The sequence below is a fragment of the Homo sapiens genome, chromosome 8 (assembly GCF_000001405.40).
Source record: "Homo sapiens chromosome 8, GRCh38.p14 Primary Assembly".
NCBI classification, from domain to species: domain Eukaryota; kingdom Metazoa; phylum Chordata; class Mammalia; order Primates; family Hominidae; genus Homo; species Homo sapiens.
In genome coordinates, this window is record NC_000008.11 from 27806778 (window position 1) to 27830137 (window position 23360).

The 23360-nt window shown below is 36.2% G+C and overlaps 2 protein-coding genes across 6 annotated transcripts in view, besides 1 other annotated feature; one reads left to right on the forward strand and one right to left on the reverse strand.

Moving 5' to 3' along the window:
- The window catches only part of ESCO2 (establishment of sister chromatid cohesion N-acetyltransferase 2), a 47687-nt gene extending 34804 nt beyond the window's left edge, over window positions 1-12883 (forward strand). Inside the window, exons 12-13 of one of the 3 annotated variants that reach the window (XR_949378.4) lie at window positions 1417-1561; window positions 4528-12883. Coding sequence is in view for 1 of the 3 variants with exons in the window: in XM_011544422.3 (XP_011542724.1) it covers window positions 1417-1451 (35 nt within the window). In the remaining 2 variants the exon portion in view is untranslated. Of the gene's footprint in view, window positions 1-1416 lie in introns of all 3 variants that reach the window. The other 2 variants (XR_007060703.1, XM_011544422.3) reach the window with 2 other exon arrangements.
- The window catches only part of PBK (PDZ binding kinase), a 28194-nt gene continuing 7680 nt past the window's right edge, over window positions 2847-23360 (reverse strand). For 2 of the 3 annotated variants that reach the window (NM_001363040.2, NM_018492.4), the window contains exons 3-8: window positions 21328-21421; window positions 16286-16428; window positions 15542-15711; window positions 13788-13917; window positions 4181-4357; window positions 2847-3724 (exon numbers count right to left, since the gene is read on the reverse strand). In NM_001363040.2, coding sequence (NP_001349969.1) covers window positions 3528-3724; window positions 4181-4357; window positions 13788-13917; window positions 15542-15711; window positions 16286-16428; window positions 21328-21421 — 911 coding nt within the window. In that variant the 3' untranslated portion in view covers window positions 2847-3527. Of the gene's footprint in view, window positions 3725-4180; window positions 4391-13787; window positions 13918-15541; window positions 15712-16285; window positions 16429-21327; window positions 21422-23360 lie in introns of all 3 variants that reach the window. The other variant, NM_001278945.2, reaches the window with a different exon arrangement.
- Window positions 21161-21361: a silencer, noted in NCBI's record as "peak6971 fragment used in MPRA reporter construct". NCBI's record gives its function as "represses an SCP1 promoter by STARR-seq MPRAs in K562 erythroleukemia cells {active_cell/tissue: K562}" and the evidence as "EXISTENCE:reporter gene assay evidence [ECO:0000049][PMID:32103011]".

Genomic DNA, 23360 nt, shown 5'->3' on the forward strand with positions numbered 1-23360 from the left:
AGCTAATTTTGTATTTTTAGTAGAGACGGGGTTTTACCATGTTGGCCAGGCTGGTCTTTAACTCTTGACCTCCAATAATCCACCCACTTCAGCCTCCCAAAGTCCTGGGATTATAGGCATGAGCCAGTATGCCCAGCTGTTACTTTTTTTTAAGCCATTGGGAAAAGTGTTTTAAGTTACATCTTGTTTGCTGATATATAAACTACAAGTTTTCTGTTTTGACTTTGTATTCACAATCTTTCTAAACTTAATTAATTCTAATTTATCTATTTCTATCTACATAATATCTGTGAATGAGTTTTCTTTTAGAATCTTACAGCTTTTTTGTTCTTACAATATTGCATTTCTAAGATTGCCAGTCTAGTACAGTGTTGAATAAAAGCAATGGTAGGGGGCATATTTGTTTCATTGCTGATAATAGGTAAAGTTTTCAACATTTTACTATTAAATATAAGGTTTATAGTTTCTTTGTAGATAAATTTCTAATATTAAGGAAGTTCCTCTGTCTATTCCTAGGTTTCTAGGAAGCTCTCAAACATCTTGAACAGATACTCAGATTTTATAAAAAGTCTTTCTTCTATCTTTGGAGATGATTTTGATTTTTCTTTATTGTTAATATGGCGGTTACATTGTTCTTTGAATGTTAAAGCAATCTAGCCTCCCTGAACTAAATAAACCAAACCCAATTTGGTCTTGATGTTTTTCTTTTTAATGTTATTGGCTTCAGTGAACTAGTTTTCTTTTGGACTTTTCATGTGTTCTTGAATAAGATTGGGTATCTGTAGGATCTGTAGTAAAGGTTTTTTCATTCATGACATGTCTTTTTTCTCCACAGATGAGTTTTGCCTAGGGGTTTATCAATTTTGTTAGTATTTTTGAAGATTGGCATTGTTAATCCTATCATAGGTTTGTTTTCTATTTCCTGTAAGTTTTAATTTTTTCCCCCCATTGGAAGGGAGGTACTATGGTCTGAATGTGTTCTACCAAAAATTGTATGTTGAAACCCTGTCCCCCAAGATGATGTAATACCATCGTAAGTAGTGTCTTTAGGAAGGTGAATGGGTCATGATGGTGGAAGGAACCCTTAGGGATTAATGCCCTTATAAAAATAGAGGGTCGGGGAGCTCCCTTGCTCTGTCCACCATGTAAAGACACAGCCAGAAGGTGCCTTCTATGAGGATGCCCTCACCAGATACCATCTTGATCTTGGACTTCCTAGTCTCTGGAACTATGAGAAATTTCTGTGGTTTGAGGCACCTCGTTTATGGTATTTTTGTTATAGTAGTCTAAGACGGGAGACTTGTTTTGTTTTTCCCAAATTCTTAGCTGATATATATAGCATTTTTTTATATATAGTTTTTATATGTAGCATTTGTCTAGTTTAAAATCCTTTCTAATTTTTATTCTAATCAACAGATTGTAGAAGATTAAATAGGTACCAGGAGACATGAAAGAATCATCTTCAACATTTCTCAAGTAGCTGCTGATTATCTCCTTTTATGGAGGCATAACAAGCTCCTGGAGGCTTCTACAGATTCTAAAGGGAAAGATTTCCTGGGAGGTGAGAAAGCCACTTGAGAGAAGGCTATTTTGATTTACTAATTAATTCAGTGTAAAGGTAGTCCTGGGCACGGTGGCTCACGCCTATAATCCCAGCAGTTTGAGAGGCCTAGACAGAGGTTGCTCAGGAGTTCCAGAGCAGCCTGAGCAACTTGGTAAAACCCTGTCTCTACAAAAAATAAAAAAAAAAAAATTAGCCAGGTGTGGTGGCACACACCTGTGGTCCCAGCTACTCGGAGTGGGAGGCAGAGGTGCAAGGATCACTTGTGCCTGGGAGGTTGAGACTGCAGTGAGCCATGATTGCCCCACTGTACTCCAGCCTGAGTGACAGAGCAAGACCCTGTCTCAAAAAAAAAAAAAAAAAAAGCCCTCAGCCAAGTCACATGTTGCTCTTTTGAGAATGAGGCAAATGTCCAAAAAGATAACATCTGAGACTTAGAGCAAGTTCTAGAACAAGAATAAAAAAAATTTTCTTCCAGTTGGTAGCAGATTGTCTGCAATCTTGTGTTGAGGATTTCTAGGACCTCACCAGACTCAAGGGGCAGTGCATGCTGGGATTATTTTGTAATGTCTACCATAGACAAGGGCTGTGAATTTGCTGGTCTTGTCCTTGGTATTAGTTTATTCCTATTAGATATCTCAACTGTAGGAAGTGGAAATAAATTTCTCAATGAAAAGCAATGGCTTATGTATTAAAGAGCCAATTCAAGAAAGATCCAGTTCCTGCTTTAAGTCTTAAAGCAGGAACTGCTATTCCTGCTAGGAAAAGAATGCCCTGGAGAAGCTGCTCTGTTGGCTTGGCAAAGAAGAGTGACACATGTCAGAGTGAGGATAAGAGACCCTATTGAGTATCAGGATGCAAAATTATACATACGTTTTTCTACAAATTAAGACAACTTCCAATTTACTTGTCACATTATTTTGATGGAATATATGCAAATTAATGTTGTGTCCTATTGCTTGGTACAATCTTATACCAAAAGGCCTTCAGTGATTTCTAGGCATTTTTAAAGTTCAGAGTGCAGTTGTTCCTAATGTTTCTGAGAACGCCCTGTGTCGGTAATTTTTAAAATTCTGTCTACACCCAAATGTAGGTATACCACCTACATTGGCAATTCAGTAATTTGGAAAATTCCCAGGGGACTGTGGCTTACAGAAACTACTGATCCAAAACACTTTATAGATTAGCAAAATAAGGCCAAGAGAGGGAAAGAAACCTCACATTTACTCAAGTTTAATGACAACACTCAAATCAATGAAGTATAAAATAATGCTGAGACACCTTCTGGTACCCAAAGTGTCCTTTATTCTTTATCATCCTATTTGAGTTTTATTGTTTTTACACAGCTGGGAAATGCTTAAGGTACAAATTAATAAATTTTAAACTCAGTATGGAAAATACATTTAATAAATTAAAGCAAAAACCAAAGATCTGAGGAGATCCAAGAGATCAAGACAATCTGTAACCAGAGTCTGAAGTATCCAAGGAGCTACTCTTTTTGAGGCATATTCTCCTCAGCTTCCAGTTATCATTTGATAAACACATCAGCAAAAGGTTCAGTGTTTTAAACAAATGTAGACTTTATTTTGTACTGTACAAAGTGCTAATGTCAGTAGATCCATTAAAATATAGAATATTTAAGAAAGATCATTAATAAAAGTAATGGTCATTCAATTTAATGTTACAGTTTACAGCGTTTTACTGCTAGTGTTTTAAGTCAGCATGAGCAGTATCAAAGTACTTATGTAGCTAGTTTCTAAAACTTTACAGAAAACCCAGTACAATTCCAAGTGCTTATAGCCAATATAAGCATATTTCATATTAGAAATAGTTATCCATATGTTAACAAGAAACTATGGTCCTCAAATATGCCAATTTTAGAGTCTAATAACTACTGATAGTAACTATGTAAATATTTTGGAATAAACAGTTATTTACGCAAGCCACACTTCAGCTGAGATGATCACTAGACATCTGTTTCCAGAGCTTCAACAATGTGTGCAGCAGAAGGACGATCTTTAGGGTCTTCATTAGTGCATACAGAGAAGAGTTCAATTACTTTCTGGTATGATTCATCCAGTTCTTCCATATTAATAGGTGGCCTAGTTCCCAACGCTGCATAGTATGCTTCATCATCAAAATCACTTTCATCAAAAGTTTTATCTTGAAGGAGTTAGAGATTGAAACAATAAACAAAATCACTTTATGTCATGGAAAAGTTTAATAGCTCACCCTTCTCCTGAAACAAGAATTTATGGTCCAGTATGCTTTCCATTCTGCCACAGACAGAATGGAAATGTCTTCAATTGTCCTGCCATCAAGTAGATTTGCTTTAGTCTTGGATTTATAGGTTATCGACCCCTACTTTTACCCTTCCTGTGATAGTTTTCCAATCAATCATTTTCTCAGGAAAGGGGAGTTTTTAAGATAATGTTTTGCTTCTCTGGATAGCCTCAATTTTTCTCCCTATTCTCAATCTATGTCTCATTTGTGTGAGATTAAACCTTGGTGGTACCAAATCAGTCATCAGTACTAATACATATCTTAGAAAGATAAAATTATATAATCTTTAGTGTGAAATGAAGAGATTGGGATTTATGTTAGAAATTGTATTCATACCTTCATCATCATCATCATTTGAAAGATTAATGTGTGGAATCGATAAAGTCATCATTTCCCACAAAGTAAGGCCAAAGGCAAATATGTCTGCCTTGTCAGTAATAACACCATTCTCCTCCACAGCTTCTTTGGGTTTCCATGGCTCTGTGCCAATGTAACAAGCCTCAGGGTCAGTCACTGAAACAAGCAAGATGGTTATGAAGGCAGGAGCTACAAATCACGAAAAGGCAAGCAACCCAAAGGGAAACAGGCGAACGATTTGAACAAGTAGTTCACAGGTTAATCAGTGTAGCCAGAAAATGTAAAAATACACTCAACCTCAATAAGGATTACTTTCTACCTTTCAGGTTGGTAAATATTCAAGAAGCTGGTCAGTTGGCAGGTATGTAGAGAAACAGCAATTCTCTTACAAATTAGTAGGAATATAGAATGTGGATGTTGAGATTACAGACTCTGGAGCCAGACTGCCTTGCTTGGGTTGGTTCAAAGACATGTGTGTGCAAGCTGCGTGACCTTGAGCAGATCACTTCTAGACCTGAATTTCTTCATTTTGTGAACAATATTAGGCTGAGAGAAGTACCATTTCTATGCTTCCATGATTGCTATGTCAAGGAAAAGGGAAAGGGACCAATCACACATAGGCTCTTTTTTAAAGCCCAAGAAAGAAATAGGTCCACTCACATTTCCATTTAAACTTGAGTCAACTTGTCAATTTCAATGAAAAAGCCAGCTAAAATTCTCATTAGGATTGGACTAAATCTCTGGATCAATTTAGTAAGCATTAACATCTTAATAGTATTGAGTCTTCCAAACCGCAGTCATATATTTCTCCACTTAGTTATATCTTACTGAATTTTCTCAGTGATGCTTTATAGTATTCATTACAGAGGTTTTAGACTTTTTTGGTTATTTATTCCGAAATATTTTGGGTTTTGGTACTTGTAAATAGATTTTAAACAATTCCATTTTCAATTATATACTGCTAATACACAGAAATGTAATCACTAACTTCACTATAGCTGTTTTATAGATTCCTTGGGATTTTCTACCTAAACAACATATCAACTGCAAACGGGGACAGTTTCGTCTCCTTTCCAATTTTGCCTTCTCCATTTTCTTGCCTTATTTTAGTGGCTAGGGCTATAGGACTGCTAAATAAAACTGGCAAGAGCAGGCATCCTGGTCTTGTTCCCTACTTCAGTATGATACCTGCAGGTTTTTCTTGTAGACAGCCTTTTTCAAGCTAAGATCCCTTCTATTTCTAGTTAGCTGAGAGGTTAACTAGATTTTAAACTAACTTTTAAATCAAGAATGGATGTTGGATTTTGTCAAACACTTTTTCGGTATCTATTGAGATATGTAGTTTTCAAATTTGATTAAAGACTTAAATGTTGGACCTAAAACCATAAAAACCCTAGAAGAAAACCTAGGCAATACCATTCAGGACATAGGCATGGGCAACGACTTCATGATTAAAACACCAAAAGCAATGGCAGCAAAAGCCAAAACAGACAAATGGGATCTAATTAAAGAGCTTCTGCACAGCAAAAGAAAGTACCATCAAAGTGAACAGGCAACCTACAGAATGGGAGAACATTTTTGCAATCGACCTATCTGACAAAGGGCTAATATCCAGAATCTACAAAGAACTCAAACAAATTTACAAGAAAAAAAAAAAAAAAAACATCAAAAAGTGGGCAAAGGATATGAACAGACAACTTCTCAAAAGAAGACATTTATGCAGCCAACAGACATGAAAAAATGCTCATCATCACTGGTCATCAAAGAAATGCAAATCAAAACCACAATGAGATACCATCTCATGCCAGTTAGAATGGCAATCATTAAAAAGTCAGGAAACAACAGATGCTGGAGAGGATGTGGAGAAATAGGAATGCTTTTACACTGTTGGTGGGACTGTAAACTAGTTCAACCATTGTGGAAGACAGTGTGGCAATCCCTCAAGGATCTAGAACTAGAAATACCATTTGACCCAGCAATCCCATTACTGGGTATACACCCAAAGGATTAGAAATCATGCTACTATAAAGACACATGTACACGTTTATGTTTATTGTGGCACTATTCACAATAGCAAAGACTTGGAACCAACCCAAATGTCCGTCAATGACTGGATTAAGAAAATGTGGCACATATACACCATGGAATACTATGCAGCCATAAAAAAGGATGAGTTCATATCCTTTGCAGGGACATGGATGCAGCTGGAAACCATCATTCTCAGCAAACTATCACAAGGACAGAAAACCAAACACCACATGTCCTGACTCATAGGTGGGAACTGAACAATAAGAACACTTGGACACAGGGTGGGGAACATCACACCCTGGGGCCTGTCATGGGGTAGGGGGGAGGGATAGCATTAGGAGAAATACCTAATGTAAATGACTAGTTAATGGGTGCAGCAAACCAACATGGCACATGTATACCTATGTAACAAACCTGCACATTGTGCACATGTACCCTAGAACTTAAACAATTTTGTTAATATGGTGAATTTTATTGACTCCTCCCCCAAGCTTTGAGGTATAATTAACAAATTATATATGTTTAAGGTATACAACTTGATGTTTGATATATGTAAACACTGACCTCATAGCCACAGTCAAGCTAATTAACATATCTATCACCTCATATAGTTACCATTTTTTTGTGTGTGTGAGAATACTCAAGATCTACTCTCAGCAAATCTCAAGTGTACAGTATTAACAAAGGGCACGAAGCTTCCATTATGCAGGATGAGTAAGTTCTGGTGACCTAACGTACAGCATAGTGAGGACATTGATTCTTGAATGTTACAACTTTTCCTTCCTGGAATAAGTCCTAGTTGGTCAAGATGTAGTGTTCTCATGTAGTATTAGACTGAATTGGCTAATATTTTGTTAAGGATTTTGATACCTGTGTTTGTGAAGGATATTGGACTATGATTTTTTTTTCTTATCAGTTTATTTTTCTGTGTACATAGCAGGTGTACATGTTTATGTGTTAATGTGATATTTTGATGCAGGCATGCAGTGTATAATAATCACATCAGGACCGATAGGATGTCCTACAATGTGTCAGGTTTTCATATTAGAGTTATGCTGACCACAAAAACAGACTGGGCAGAGGTCCTTATTCCTCTATTTTCTGAAAAAGTTTGTGTAAAATCCATATCATTTCTTCCTTGGATATTTGGTAGAAATCAACAGTAAAACATCTGGGTCTTGAGTTTTCTTTGTGGGAATGTTTCTTAGTAGACATAGGGCTATGTGGATTTCCTTTTCTTCCTATATTAATTTTGGTAAATTGTATTTTTCAAAGAAATTGTCCTTTTCATCTAAGTTGTCAAATTCATTGCCATAAAGCCGTTTATAATAGCCTAATTATTCTTTAAATGTGTGTAGAATTTACAATAACCCTTTTCTCATTCCTGTTGTTGGTGACTTGTGTTCTCTTTTTTCTTGATCAGTCTAGATAAAGCTTTATATATTTCATTATCTTTTCAAATAACCAGCTTTTGGCTTTGTTAATATTTTATAGTATTTGTTTTTTATTTCATTGATTTCTGCTCATAGCTTTATTCCCTTCCTTTGGATTTGCTCTGCTTTTCTTTTTCTAGATTAAATCAATGAACATAGGTCATTGATTTAGAACTTTCCTTTTTTCCAATATAATTTACAACTATAGATTTCCCTCTGAGCCCTGCTTTAGCTATTGCTTGCACATTTTGATATGCTGTATTTTCCTTAATTATTCAAAACATTTTCCAATTTCCCTTGTCATTTTATTTGACCCATAGGTTATTTAAATTTGTGTTACTGAATTTCCAAATACTTGGGGTTTCCTTAGATATCTTGTTAGTGATTTCTAACTTAATTCCATTGTGGCCAACAAATATACTCTATGATTCCTCCCATAGTGTCATACAAACCTTTACTTCTGCTATAACTAGGATAAACTCAAACTCTTACAGACAGAATATTCACTAGGCAGTGTTAGAGTGTATTATACTAAAAAATGAAAATTTTCAGTATTTGATTACTATAATCTGCATTTCCTCACAAATAAGGTTAGAGTGAAAACAATATAATTCATTTTGAAACAATAGAAAGAAGACACAGTGGGGCTGTTTACTGAAAGAAATTTCTCCAGAACTGAAGGAAAGTTCTGCCCTGAGAGTCTCAAGAACTTTACAAGGAAAAGAGGATGAAACTAACATTTAAAGAACAAAAGGGAGGGGTAAAAGAAGGAAAAGTGAGAATCCATAAGCCAGGAAATTGAAGATTCCAGTTAACAAGCACTCATTTATTCCGTTAACATTTTGAGAGGTATGCCTGATAAATGAGCAGGCTCTGTTAAGTGAGAACAAAAATACCAGACTAGGAGGGTACCCAGTACCAGCAGGCAAGAAGGAAAGATGAGTGGTGTCTCTATGGTAGCCTTTGTACTTAGTTCTGCTTTGGGCATTACAGTTTAGAAGGTAGCCATGGACATTATAAGCTCCTTAAAGGTTTTCCCCTATACTGTACCTTATATATTAGAGGTACTTCATGGAATTCATGACAAGAGAAAAGCCTATAGACATGGCCCACATGGGCAGTGACTCTGTGGCAATAAGGAAGGATACTTACACCGTTCAGTATATACACGTATATGTGTGTGTACACATACATTCTAAGTAGGTCAGATTCCTACAAGGATCCATCAGGCTAAAAAGTAGTTTTCTAGAACTCTGGGTCTAAAATAACGGCTCCAATTTGAGACTCGAACCACAAGTGCATTTCCTGTATGTATGTTTACAGTTCTCCAAGTCTGTAAACATAATAGCATGTGACATAGTGAATTTAACATAGTATTTAAACATAATGGATTGGGCCCCCTGCCACCTATGTTAGTGATTGGGTTTGCTCCCTGTGAAGATGGATTGTTCTGACAACAAAAGTTTGATGAGATCATAAACTAATGGTTCAGTCATTTCTTTTGGTTGATACAGAAACAGTTTATACTTTATTTCCCTTTACTACATTCAAAGAGTTTAAGCAGACATGCTTTAGTTACTATCCCAAACTGAAAAATGATGAAACTGGAGCTCCTACTTATCCTTCAATTCTCAGCTTATTAAACATCATTTAGCGAGGCCTTCCTCAACATCTAGACTAGGTTAAGGGCCACTGCTGTGTTTATAATTCCTTGTATCATAACTGTCATCTTGTCTCATTAGTATTCAAAAGCTGCTTTCCATCCTAGATTAGGAGCTGCAACAGGGTAAGACTGTGTCTGTCTCATGTACTCTATATTCATGGTGCCTGACATGTATATAGTATTAATATTTGCAAATTTATCTTGAGATAAACACTTAAGATTTTGGCTTTTCATCGAATACTATATATATATATATTTATTTATTTATTTATTTATTTTAATTTATTTTTTTTTGAGATGGAATCTCGCTGTCGCCCAGACTGGAGTACAGTGGCTTGATCTCAGCTCACTGCAAGCTCTGCCTCCTGGGTTCACGCCATTCCCCTGCCTCAGCCTCCTGAGTAGCTGGGACTACAGCTGCCCGCCACCACGCCTGGTTAATTTTTTGTATTTTTAGTAGAGACGGGGTTTCACTGTGTTAGCCAGGATGGTCTCAATCTCCTGACCTCATGATTTGCCCGCCTCGGCCTCCCAAAGTGCTGGGATTACAGGTGTCAGCCACTGCGCCCAGCCAGAATACTATATTTTAGTTGTGAAATGTTAATATATTACCTGTTTAAAAAAAATTTTAAGATTTGGGTATTTTTTTTCAAACTTTTCTTCATATATGTAAATACATATAAGTGCTATTTTATACTCTGTTTATCTCACTGGATATATTTATGCCTATAAATATAAACCCGTATAATTTATGGATATATGGTATTCTATTGTGTGGTAGTATAAATTAAACCACCCCTTATTGGTGGACATTCTCACACATTGTTGCATAGTCTGTTCTGCTACAATGTGTATTTTTGAAACAGTAAAAAGATTGATATTTTTCCCAGTACATAAATGTTATTTTTGAAGTGATCAGAGGCAAATCTCACAAATAGAAAGCCTTTGCCTACAGAAATGCCTTCCCTGAGCATATGCCTGGTGTAGTAGCTTTAAGAATTGCTATTGCTAACTACAAAAGCTGTGAGTGAGTCCAGGTAAAGGAGCTGCCAACACATTTCCCACACGCTTAAAAATATATATATATTTTTAGTGAGAAAGCCAGATCAAATTTTTCATCTTGATGAAAAGTATCTATTGAAAATACTCTCATATGTAACCTTCAGCATAAACCCAGGGTTTATGGCTACAAAGGAACATTTTATCATCATAGAAAGTTTCACTGAACAGCACTGCTCTAGAAAGTCTTGCTCCGGCTCAGAAATGACACAAGTCATTTCTTCTGGTAGAACCTTTCAGACGACAGTTTGGAAATCTGCATTTAAAATAAGAAAAATATTTTAAAATGTTTATGCCCTTGCAGATTTAATGTGTTAGTATCTTTTATTAGGATTATTAACTGTTTTTGTTACTGCTTTAGTTTTCAAAGTTGCATAGGTTTTAACCCTGTTTTTTTTTTCTATAAACCTAGTTATATCTTGAAACTTTTGCGCAATGAAGTTTTGCAGGAAATAATATATCAGGTTATTATAAAAAAAATGCCTGTACTGCCTAATTACTCAATTACTTCTTTGGACTGTGTTCTTAAGAATGAAACTATAGGGTCAAAGGGCATAAACATTTTTAAAGGTTTTTCTTATTTTAAATACAGCTTTCCAAACTGTCACCTGAAAGGTTCTACCACAAGAAATGACTTGTGTCATTTCTGAGCTTGAGCATTTAACTATCACTGCAAGACTTTCTAGAGCAGTATTGTTCAATGAAACTTTCTATGATGATTAAATCTCCTAAATCTGCATTGTCCAATGTGGTAACCATTAACCACATGTAGCTTCTGAGCACTTGAATTGTGGCTAGGGTGGCTGAGAAAATAATTTCAATGTTTTAATATTAATGTAAATAGCAACATGCAGCTCATAACTACTGTATTGGACAGTACCACTCCAATGCTTTTTCACCCTCCCCATAATGGTGGCCATGTTCCATATAGTGGCTGTTCCATCAGTATAAGTCCTAAAGGGAGAATGACACAGAACAAGGTGCTAATGGCCATGCAGCTTGAGTAATAAGCCTTGGTTGTTGTAAGTCACTGAAGTTTTTGAGGTCTGTGTTACCACAGCAAAACCTATTCTAACCTCAGTAAAACAGCAGTTACAAGTTCTACTTAGTGTATGAGAGGACATGTTAACCTACATTGTTGCTCATACTAGCAATCTTTTTATTTACTAGCAATCTTGTTACTCCTTCAATAATATATTTACAAGTCAGGCACTATTCTAGAGTTGAGGATATTTCAGTGGACAAGATATACAAGGTTCCCTTCTTAGAGCTTACAAGCCTAATGGAGGAATGGAGAAACGTTTAACAGATAATTTACACAGTGTGATGAGTGTTGATAGCAGATTATCTCATTGTTATTTAGCTTTTAAAACATTAGTAAGAACATTACATATATATTTTCCTAATTGCCATTTTTTTCATTTCTCAACAGTCTCTTCATAATAGAGCTTTTATCTGTTTCTCATTGATTACTAATAACTCTTAATGCATTAGAAATATTAAATATCTTATACATTTATCTCAGTTTCTAATGTCTTAAGCTCCCTGCCCCTCTCCAACCCACTGTGATATAGAATTCTTTTTTTTTAAATGGAGGTACCCATGGCTTTTTAATGATGGTTTCTAGCTTTGGTGTCTTCTTTAAAGTCCTCTCCACAGCCAACATTAAAGAACTATTTATCTACAATTTTTTCTACTGTTACTTTTTCCCCCAATCTTCAATATATGGGGATTCAAGTGTAAGGATAGAAAACAGCTGTGTTTTTTTCTAAAATGTCCAGATAACATCATTTACTGACTAAACTACCTCTTTTCTCACTAATACAAAAATGTCACCTTTATCACACAACAAATTCCTCTATTTGGGAACTATTTCCTGACTCTCATGTTCTATTTTTCTGCCTATTTTGGCATGAGTATCATCGCTTTAATTACTGTAGCTTTATAAAACTTTTTATCTGCTCAGGAAGATTCCTCCTCCTTTCATCGAGTTTTCCCAGCCATGTTTGATTGAACATGTATCCTCAAAGAGGAACTTCAGATTAATTCTGACATGTTCTAGAATAGATCACATTAAGATTATGTAGAATTTATAGGCTATCAAATTCATTCATTTCTGCTTTCTGTTCTTAGGGCGTCATTTTTTTCAATTTCAGTTGAATATTCAACTTAACTTCATAAAAGTTAAATAATGAAAATGTTTCCTTTGAGTAGTTTTGAACATATCAAATAGGGTTTGACTTGTTATATTCTTATATTTTCTAAATATTTTATAAATGGAATTTGATTTCTCTTTTTAGCCAAAAATTATTCGGAAGTGTTTTAAATTCCTAAAAAGTTTGGAGTTTTTGTTTCCTATTTTATTACAAATTTCTAGATTTACAGCATTGATGTTAAGGAATATCACCTATTAGACTATTCATACTTTTTATAATTCGAAGTTTTTTTGTGTGATCTAAGAATATGGTCAATTTTAATAAATATTATGGTGCAGAGGTACTTGCCTTACTATTTACTCAGATCTTTAACATCCTTACATTTGTCTGTTTGCTCTATTAAGCATTGAGAAAAATACTTTAAAAACCCTCATTTTTATTATGTTTGACAATTTATCCTTTTACTTTCTAAAGTTCCCATTTTGTAAGTTATTTAGCATAAGGTTTCACAACAGTTCTATTTTTATTAATGATTACAGACATCATTTATTTATAAAGTCTGTCCATTCATTCTGACTCTTGCCTTCAACTCAACTTGTAAACTTTTACTTCAGCTAGAAATTCAGGCATTTATATGTTCTAAACAGCATTTATTAACCATTTGTTTAACTTCTGTTGATATAAAGAGACAAATTTAAGTATTATTTACTAAATAATATGTTGCAAGCAGAGGCTTTCTCTTGAGGCTGGCTCTTGTTTCTCACCAAGAACATATCTTAAATTCCCTGAGAAGCTATGCAATAGAGAAGAAAGGGCAAAGAGCCAAAGACCAGCCTTCATTAGCACCCCTCTTTTCTGCTTCATTCCAGTTTCTTCTACCAGTTTCCTAAATCTTGTCACTTTACTCATGCTAAATAAACCGCTTTACACAACCTTACTAAATTTTACTTTCTATTCCCAGATGCTTTACTGCTTAAAGATCCCAATCCAGTTAGAAATATTTCCCAAAGATAACTCCAGTTAAAATATATACTAATACTACTACTAATAATAATACAGTAATTTATACTGTACATGTGGCAAGGGAGAAGACTGCAGGCTGACTGGGAGAGAGAGAAAAAAAGGGGACTTTTTACCATATACTTTTTAAAAATAGTTTTTGATTTTTGATCCATGTGGACTTACGTATTTAAAAATGTAAACACTGTATTAAAAACAAAATTTTAAAACTTAAGAGTACAACTTACCAGTCATATTTTCATCCAGTGGTAGAGAGACTCCTACATCACAGATTTTAATTGTTTCAAAATCGCCTTTAATTACAACATTTGAAGACTTTATGTCTCCATGAAGCAGTTTCTTTTCTTGGTGCAGATACTAAAATAGTAAAAAATTTAACACATATGTGCAGAAACACAAACTAATAAAAAAATGTGATAACCTCCAAATATAACAACTTGAACTCCCTTCCTAAACTCTAGGTTTACATTTGTCCAGCGTTTCAAAATTTTTTTTTTTTTTTTTAAAACGGAGTCTCACTCTGTTGCCCAGGCTGGCATGCAGTGGCACGATCTCGGCTCACTGCAACCTCCGCCTCCTGGGTTCAAGTGATTTTCCTGCCTCAGCCTCCCAAGTAGCTGGGACTACAGGCGGGCACCACCACACCTGGCTAATTTTTGTATTTTTAGTAAAGACGAGGTTTCACCATGTTGACCAGGCTGGTCTGTCTCGAACTCCTGGCTTCAAGTGATCCGCCTGCCTCAGTCTCCCAAAGTGCTGGGATTACAGGTATGAGCCACTGTGCCCAGCATTTCAAAGTATTTGAAACAAGAGAAGGGAACATCCCATGTTATCTCAGTCTGCCATACTGACCAGAAGTCTAAAAGTTTATTTAGAAATAGATACTTCTGCTAACCTTTTATACTTATAAAATAAATAATTATAAGTTAACTATTTTTTTCCAAGACAGAGTCTTGCTCTTGTTGCCCAGGCTGGAGTGCAGTGGCGCGATCTTGGCTCACTGCAACATCTGCCTTCCAAGTTCAAGCGATTCTCCTGCCTCAGCCTCCCGAGTAGCTGGGATTACAGGTGCCGCCACCATGCCCGGCTCATTTTTGTATTTTTAGTAGAGATGGGGTTTCACTATGTTGGCCAGGCTGATCTCAAATTCCTGCCCTCGTGATCTGCCTGCCTTGGCCTCCCAAAGTGCTGGGATTACAGGCGTGAGCCACCACACCCAGCCAAGTTAACTATTTTTATATATAAGTATGTATATATACCGACAGCTTATAAGTTAACTATACTTATAAATTGGTTAACTTGGTAAGTTAACTAATCCTACATACTTTATATCAGAAGATACAACTGCAGATTTCAAAAGATACCACAATTTTGAGGCTAGTCTAGTAATTTTTAGAAATAATTTTGGAATCTTCAGTGAAGCATACATAAATTGTTGAGACCATGTGGGACAATGAATGACTAGGGCCACATGTACGTATAAGGATGTTTTGGTCAATGATGGACAACATATACGACGGTGGTCCCATAAGATTATAATATCATATTTTGATTTTACCTTTTCTATGTTTTGATATGTTTAGTCACACAGTACTTACCACTGTGTTACAACTGCCTATAGTATTCAGTACAGTAACATTCTATACAGGTTTGTGGCCTAGGAGAACTGGGCTATATATACCACATAGCCCAGGTGTGTAGTTGGCTCTACCATCTAGGTGTGTGTAAGTACACTCTATGATGTCCGCACGCACAGTGATGAAACTGCCAAATGACACATTTCTCAGAACATATTAAGCTACACATGAATGTAATTTGGAAGCAGAAATGTAAGCCTCTATTTTGTTTTCCGCTAACCCCTTTTTGGAACTGACAAGTAACAATATCCATCCACATTCAAAGATGTCCTGCAAAGTGATTATTTGTTCATTTAAAATATGAACAAAAACAGAAGTCATTTAAAATATAATGACATAGTTACCTTTAACCCTCTTGCCATATTCAAAGCAACTTTTAAAATTATGGCTGCTGGAAAAGGATCTTGGCTGGCTTTATATCGTTCTTCTATTAAGTCATTTAGAGACTTTTCACCTCCATATTCCATAGCAAGACACAGACTGCCATCATTGGCTTCAGTAAAAGCACGATAACCTTAAAGAAAACATGACATTTCTTCACTAATATAGAGAAGAACAATAATATTTAAGTCCTTTATAGTAACGTGATTGAAAATATGGATCTGGACTAACGCTGACAAATATACAATGAAACAGCTACTATTTACAAGACTAATTCAGTAGATCTCATTTAAAATGCCTTCAGTGTTTGCCAGTAGTACCACAAATTAAAATACTTTTATTTTCCTTTGCTTCCCTAAATATAATAGTTTCACCAGCCCTACTTGTATTAAAAATGAAAAATGAAATCCAGGAAATTACCTAAATGGATTTAAATTATCTAAATGAAGATCATTTTATATTCTTAAAATCTTCATAGAACTAGCAACATAATTATTATATCTGTTCTCATGAAGTTTATATACTTAGGCATCAAAAAATACTATATGCAAATTTTTATTTTAGACCAATCACATTAATTTGATACCCATTAAATATCCAGCCCCATCCTCTTCATTTCTATTAGTGAAACCAGTTAAGAGAGCATATAAGCTGTTTCTGAATAAACAAAATAATATACCAGATACTGCTACCAAATTTAAACGTACCAACAATGTTTGGATGATGAAGGCTTTTCAAAATCTTAGCTTCATCCATTAGTCTCTTTTGATACACACTTCGATAATGATCATTACATATAGGATTAATCTTTTTTACAGCCCAAGGAGAATGAGACAAACCTCTTGGAGATCTAAGAAAAAAATTCATTTAAAAAGGATAGAAAACAATAAAACCACAATACTTTTTAAAATGACTTCCAAATTTTTGGGAAAAAGCTTGAAAGAAATTTGCTTTTAAAAACAGAATTTAAAATAGTTTGGACTATGAACACCTCTGCTACATTTCCATTTCAATTGGGAGGTAAGATCTAATATACTAAAACAAGTCTTACTATCTATACTGTGGAAGGGAGAGGATGAAAAGAATTTGAAGGGTAAAGATGGAATGTTACAAACTTTAAACCTGAAAATTGTAACTTTCCAATTTTTCCATTTGAGCATGTTGGACTACAACTTATTAAATATTTAATTATATGTATCAGAGATGAGTTATAGGATCCTGAAGAAAAAAACATTAGGAAATTTAAAGAAGAGATAATCAAGAACATTTTACCCATATATCATCATCCAAAGAACAGCATGCTGTTCTTATTGCTCCCCTACACTGACCAATTCACCTTATACCTTTTACCACATGCTCAAAGATATGTGCTTAAGGAGATAATGATGAACATACAAATGAGAAAATTTTAAACTTTCTATTTTCTAGGAAGATTCAGCCATTTTACAAATATTTAAGGTATAAATGTTTTAAGGCCTAAATAGGTAAAATAAAGTCAGGGAAAGGTTTACCTGAGGTGGTAGATATTTATGAGTAGAGCAAATCACAAAATACTTAAGTATATGCAGCATAACAGCACAAAACCTAGTGAAAGAGCCTCAGAAGTTTAAGACAGAAAGTTTAATGGTAAGAACACAAAACAAGAGATTGAATCAAAGATCTGTTTAGCTTTGGACTCCCTCACAGGTATAGCTCTAAGACTGCAGAACCTTTTTTGTTTAATCAAAAAGCCTATACTAAAAGGATCACAAGATTTCTTAATTCATGTACATCTATCATCCGTAAGTTGATCTAAACTATTCTTAAACCTCCAGTTTTAAATAACAGCAGCATTTGAGGATAATGATGAGCACCTGCATATCATTTTATTATGAAAAATATATTTTTCAAATTTCAAGGGTTGAAAGTTTAGCTCTTGAAAGTTTAGAATTTAGTAAACAAGTCAATCTTCACCTTTTCCATAACATATTCTAATCTATCGAATAAGAATAGATTTATGAAATCTGAATACTCAACCATGCAAAAAGCTGGTTCATTAAAAAGACTAATAGAAAAAAGGCAAATTTCTGATGAGATTACACAAGAAAAAATAAAGACAATATCACAAATAAAAATGGAAACAAAACTACAGATACAAGAGAAAAAATATGTAAGTAAATAAAATCTTTATGCAATCATTTAAGACAAAATGGTCAAAGACTTAGAAAAATCTAAGAAAACTGATGAATGAAGAAATTTAATCACCAGTTTAAAATGTTCCTACTAGAAATACAAAGTGCAGATGATTTTACAGGTGAGTTTACTAAGCTTTCAAAGAATTTACCATTCAATCTTATACAAACTGTTTCCCCAGGGAACAGAAAAGGTACTATGAGTCTCATATAACTTTAATTTTAAAAAATCAAAAGGGACAGTAGAAAAAGGAAAACCACAAGCCAACTTCACTTATATCAGATGCAAAAATTGAAATAAACTTTAATATTAGCAAACTGAATCCATCAGTTTATTTAAAAATACTACATCAAAACTATGTTGGATTTAACCAAGAAATGCAAACTTGATTTAACAAAAAAAATATAGACTTCTGGGTTAAAATTGTAGCTTAAACATACACATTGTTTTTATCCTTTCCAAGCCCACTAACATAATAGCAAATGGATATTTTTTAGACATACAAGCCAGCAAGAATGGAAATAACAGCAGAAGAGACAACAGCAACAAAATTTCAGAAGCTGGAAAGCAGAAGAAAGTAACTGACTTAGCCCCAATGAACTGCTTGCAAGTTATTTAAAAAGCACGTAGGCCTGGAAGGGTTAGCACACAACTATAATCACAACACTTTGGGAGGCCAAGTCAGGAGGATGACTTGAGACCAGGAGTTTGAGACCAGCCTGGGCAATATAGTGAGACCCCTTCTCTACAAAAAACTTTTAAAAGTCACATGTGGTGGCCCACGCCTGTAGTCCCAGCTACTTGGGAGGCTGAGGCAGGAGGATTGCTCAAACCAAGGAGTTTGAGGCTGCAGTGAGTTATGATGGCACCATTGCACTCCAGCCTGGGCAACAAAATGAGACCCTGTCTCTAAATAATAATGGTAAAAAACAGGTGGACTCGTAGATACCCTCCTTAATTCTGTACCAACTGGCAGCTGCCCACCCCCCTTCCCCAGCTTCTAAAGATGGTAGACTAGCTTTGGAAGGTATAAAACAAGTCTTTAGCCTGAGGTTTACTGTCAGTTGAGAACCTGTAATACAGAAGCAGGTTAATAATTAATCACCATATGCATACTAAATGCTCAATGAGTTTTTACATGTGCATATACCTGTGTTATCAACACCTAGATACCGAACATTTCTAGCACTCCAAGAGACTAAAGATGCTATTTTTAAAAAGATAATTAATTAAAAACAAGATAAAAACTCAATAGAATTGTTGAAAGATAAAGCTGGGGAAATCTCAGAAAAAAGATAGCGAATAAGAAAACCAAGCAAAAAAGAGGTAGATGAGAAATCAGTAAGTTCAACATTCAAATAATTGGATTCCAGATGGAGAACAGAGAAAAAGAGGTGAAAATCATCAACAAAGTAATTTTTAAAATAATGTCTCAGAAATTTAAGAACAGGAACTATTCAGATTCCAAGATCCCCACATCCACTCATGTCATTGTGAAATTTCAGAATGCTACCGACATACAGAAGATCATACCAGGATCCAGGACAGTGGGGGGGACAGATAACATAAAACGGATTACATATGAAGAATTAGCAGTCAAAAAGGCTTCATAATTCTCAACAGCAACAGTGTAAGCTAGAAAAAAAACAATGTCAGTGACTGATATTCTCAAAATTCTGGAGGGAAATTGTTTCCAAATGAGAATTGTAACCCAGAAAACCAAAAAGGGCCATTCAAGTATGAGTAAAATGAAAACATTTTTGGAAATGCAAATTCTCAAAAAAATATATCTTCTGTGCACCGATTCATGGGGAGCTACCAGATGTCCTAAATGAAAACGGGATGTAAATCAAGAAATAATAAGACACAAGATACCTAAAAACACAGGATATAATTCAGCAGAGAAGCATAGGAAATTTGCAGGTTATGGATAAAAGAAATCCCAGGTTGACAGGGCTGAATCAGGAGGAGTGTAGGGTCAGGCAGGCACTGCTGTTCTTCAAGATCAGCTATTTGCCCAGCACTTTGGGAGGCCGAGGCGGGCGGATCACGAGGTCAGGAGATCGAGACCATCCTGGCTAACACGGTGAAACCCCGTCTCTACTAAAAATACAAAAAATTAGCCGGGCGTGGTGGCGGGCGCCTGTAGTCCCAGCTACTCGGGAGGCTGAGGCAGGAGAATGGCGTGAACCAGGGAGGCGGAGCTTGCAGTGAGCCGAGATCGCGCCACTGCACTCCAGCCTGGGCGACAGAGCGAGACTCCGTCTCAAAAAAAAAAAAAAAAAAAAAGATCAGCTATTTGAAGCTTTTTGACTAAACCACATACAGTGTAACTTTGTTAAAAACACTTTACATTTAAAAACTTTTTTTAAAAAGGGGGAAAAAAATGAAACTAGCCATAAACCTGTGAGAATTTTTTTCTTTCAAAATAGGAGTTAACACTAAAAAACAAATTAGAAAACAATACCATACAAACATACAAAAAAAATGTTTAAACTGCAAAAATGCTTCAGGAATACCCATTGTATATAATTACTAAATTATTCTTAATTAGCCTCTTATTAAAGAAAGCATTTCTATCTGGAAACAATGTAAACCTAGATGAAGCTAAGATACGGAGGGTTGGACTAGTTAGACTGATTCCAAGAATGCATTAAGGAATATATATTGATGTAGTTGTTTGCCACTTAATAAACATGAAACTAGGTACAGAGTAATGATTAAAAGAAGTAATTTTGGGCTGGGCATGGTGGCTTACACCTGTAATCCCAGCATTTTGGGAGGCGAAGGCGGGCAGATCGCTTGAGGCCAGAGTTCGAGACCAGCCTGGCCAACATGGCAAAACCCTGTCTCTACTAAAAATACAAAAATTAGCTGGGTGTGATGGTACACGCCTGTAATCCCAGCTATTCAGGAGGCTGAGGCAGGAGAAGCGCTTGAACCTGGGAGGTCGTGCCACTGCACTCCAGCCTGGTCAACAGAGTGAGACTCTGTTTCAAAAAAATATATGAATAATAAAAAAGTAATTTAAAAAAACACTTTGTTGACAGCTATATTGGCACCATACTTGTTCGATTATTTCATTTTTCTTAACACAATATTCCTACTTTAAAATCATGTATTTACCCTTCTTAATAACAATGCCATAAGAAATGAAAATCTTTTACTTCTTTTAGAAGAGCATATCTTAGGAGGGCAACGCTGCAGAAAAGACAGCAGTCACTGACATCACCCAATACTGGCTTCCTCTTTGAGGTTTTCTCATGAAGAATCTGGTTTAATTACCACAAAGGAACCCTTTCCCCTGCCACTTCCCCTTCTTATGGAAGCCAAGGAAAAATTAAAAAGTAAATGACTTCCCCTTTAATAACCCATCAGGAGGAAGCTAGGAGAAAAGCAGAGGCAGAGCTACAGGCAAAGTTACAAAAGGGTCTAGGGACCGGAATACAGCCATCAGCCAGGATCAGGAGCAGACAACCGAATCTAAATACTGGAATTTTCAGACTACTTCTTTGTCTCCAAGTACAGTAGAATTATAGTTGCATGAAAAAAGGTTAATCTGAAATCTTATACTTACCTTTTCATTAGGTACACATTTACCCCAGTACCAAAGCCAAGCTTCTGCATAAACGGAGAGGCCGGGATATTTATAGTTGGAGTTGAACATAATACTAAATGTCAGAGAAATAAAAAATAAAATTAATAAAAAATAAAAATAAAGCATCTTAACATTCTCAATATACTACTGCCAAGAGTATTAATTGGCACAGTCTTTTTGGAGAGCAATTTGACAACATATATCCTAATTTTAAATGGGTATCTTTTGACCAAGCCTACTTTTGGAGTTTTATCCTACAGTAACTCTGAAGCAGAGATTGGGAAATGGCCTGTTTTTGTATGGCCTACAAGCTAAGAACTGTTTTCACATTTTTAAAACATTGTTAAAAGATAAAGGGGTTGGATGTGGTGGCTCATGCCTATAATCTCAACGCTTTTGGAGTCCGGGGCAGGAGGGTCACTTGAGCCCAGTAGAGACCAGCTTGGGCAACATAAAGAGACTCCATCTCTACACACGAAAAAATTTTTTTAATTAGCCAGGAATGATGGCACACACCTGTGGTCTCAGCTACTTGGGAGAAACACTTGAGCCCAGGAGGTTAAGGGTGCAGGTGCAGTGAGCTGTGTTCAGCCTGGGTGACAGAGCAAGACACAGTCTCAAAAAAAAAAAAAAAAAAAAAAAAAGATGAAAAGATGGAGTTCTGCTTCTGCTCATGAAAAATAATTAACTACTCCTGGACAATTAACTGCTCCTAGAGTTACCATCTCGCCATTAACTAGAAAACTAGACAAAATATAATTGTTTTCAGACACTTGACAACAGGCAGAGCAGTGTTGTGATGCCTGAGAGAAGAGAAACAAATGAGGTGGGCCCTATCACTGCCCTAACTTACTGCTTGAAGGCAGTTTCCAGACTGCAGGACAGAGGTCACATAATCCAGAAGTCCTGTCACATTGAAGAGACAGAGATCAGAGGTCAAGAAGGACTAGGCGGCTAGAATTTGTGGAGCAGAGAACTAGAGAGCTCCAAAGAGAGCACTCCAAAGATCTGAACAGTTTCTCTTTGAGTGTTTGGCCAAGTACTTATCCGCACATAACAATGTGTAGATGCCCCAAAGCTGGGAAAGCACCAGAGGAAAGCAATTGGCTCAACAATTACCAGAGATCATACAAGTCTAGGAACACTTCATATCACCATGAGCTAGAGGATGGTAACCCTGTAACACATAGTAAAGTCCTCTAAAGGGTCACAACTAGATAGTACAGCTAAAGTTTAGCCCCAGATAAACATTCAAAACAAAGCTTAAAAGCCAGTCTCAAAAGGAACAGGCTAATGTGCAGGTAACTTAACCTCAGACCATAACTAAATCAAACACTCTTTAAAGGAATAACAAAATCCAGTACTAGACAATGCAAAATATCTACTGCCCAATCAAAAAGTACCAGGCATGAAAGCAGCAAGAAAATATGACCAATATAGGAGAAAAATAAATCAATAGAGGCCTAGCGCGGTGGCTCACGCCTGTAATCCCAGCACTTTGGGAGGCCGAGGCAGGCAGATCACTAGGTCAGGAGTTCGAGACCAGCCTGGCCAACATGGTGAAACCCCGTCTCTACTAAAGAGGCAAAAAATTAGCCAGGTGTGGTGGCACGTGCCTGTAATCCCAGCTACTCGGGAGGCTGAGGCAGGAGAATGGCGTGAACCCAGGAGGCGGAGGTTACAGTGAGCTGAGATAGCGCCATTGCACTCCAGCCTGGGCGACAGGGCACAAGACTCCATCTCAAAAAATTAAAAAATCAATCAATCAATAGAAACATACCATAAGATGACAGGAGGCCAAGAGTGGTGGCTCACGCCTGTAATCCCAGCACTTTGGGAGGCTGAGGCAGGTGGATCACTTGAGGCCAGGAGTTCAAGACCAGCCTGGCCAACATGGCGAAACCCTGTCTCTACTAAAAATACAAAAATTAGCTGGGCGTGGTAGCACGTGCCTGTAATCCCGACTACTCGGGAGGCTGAGGCAGGATAATTGCTTGAACCCAGGAGGTGGA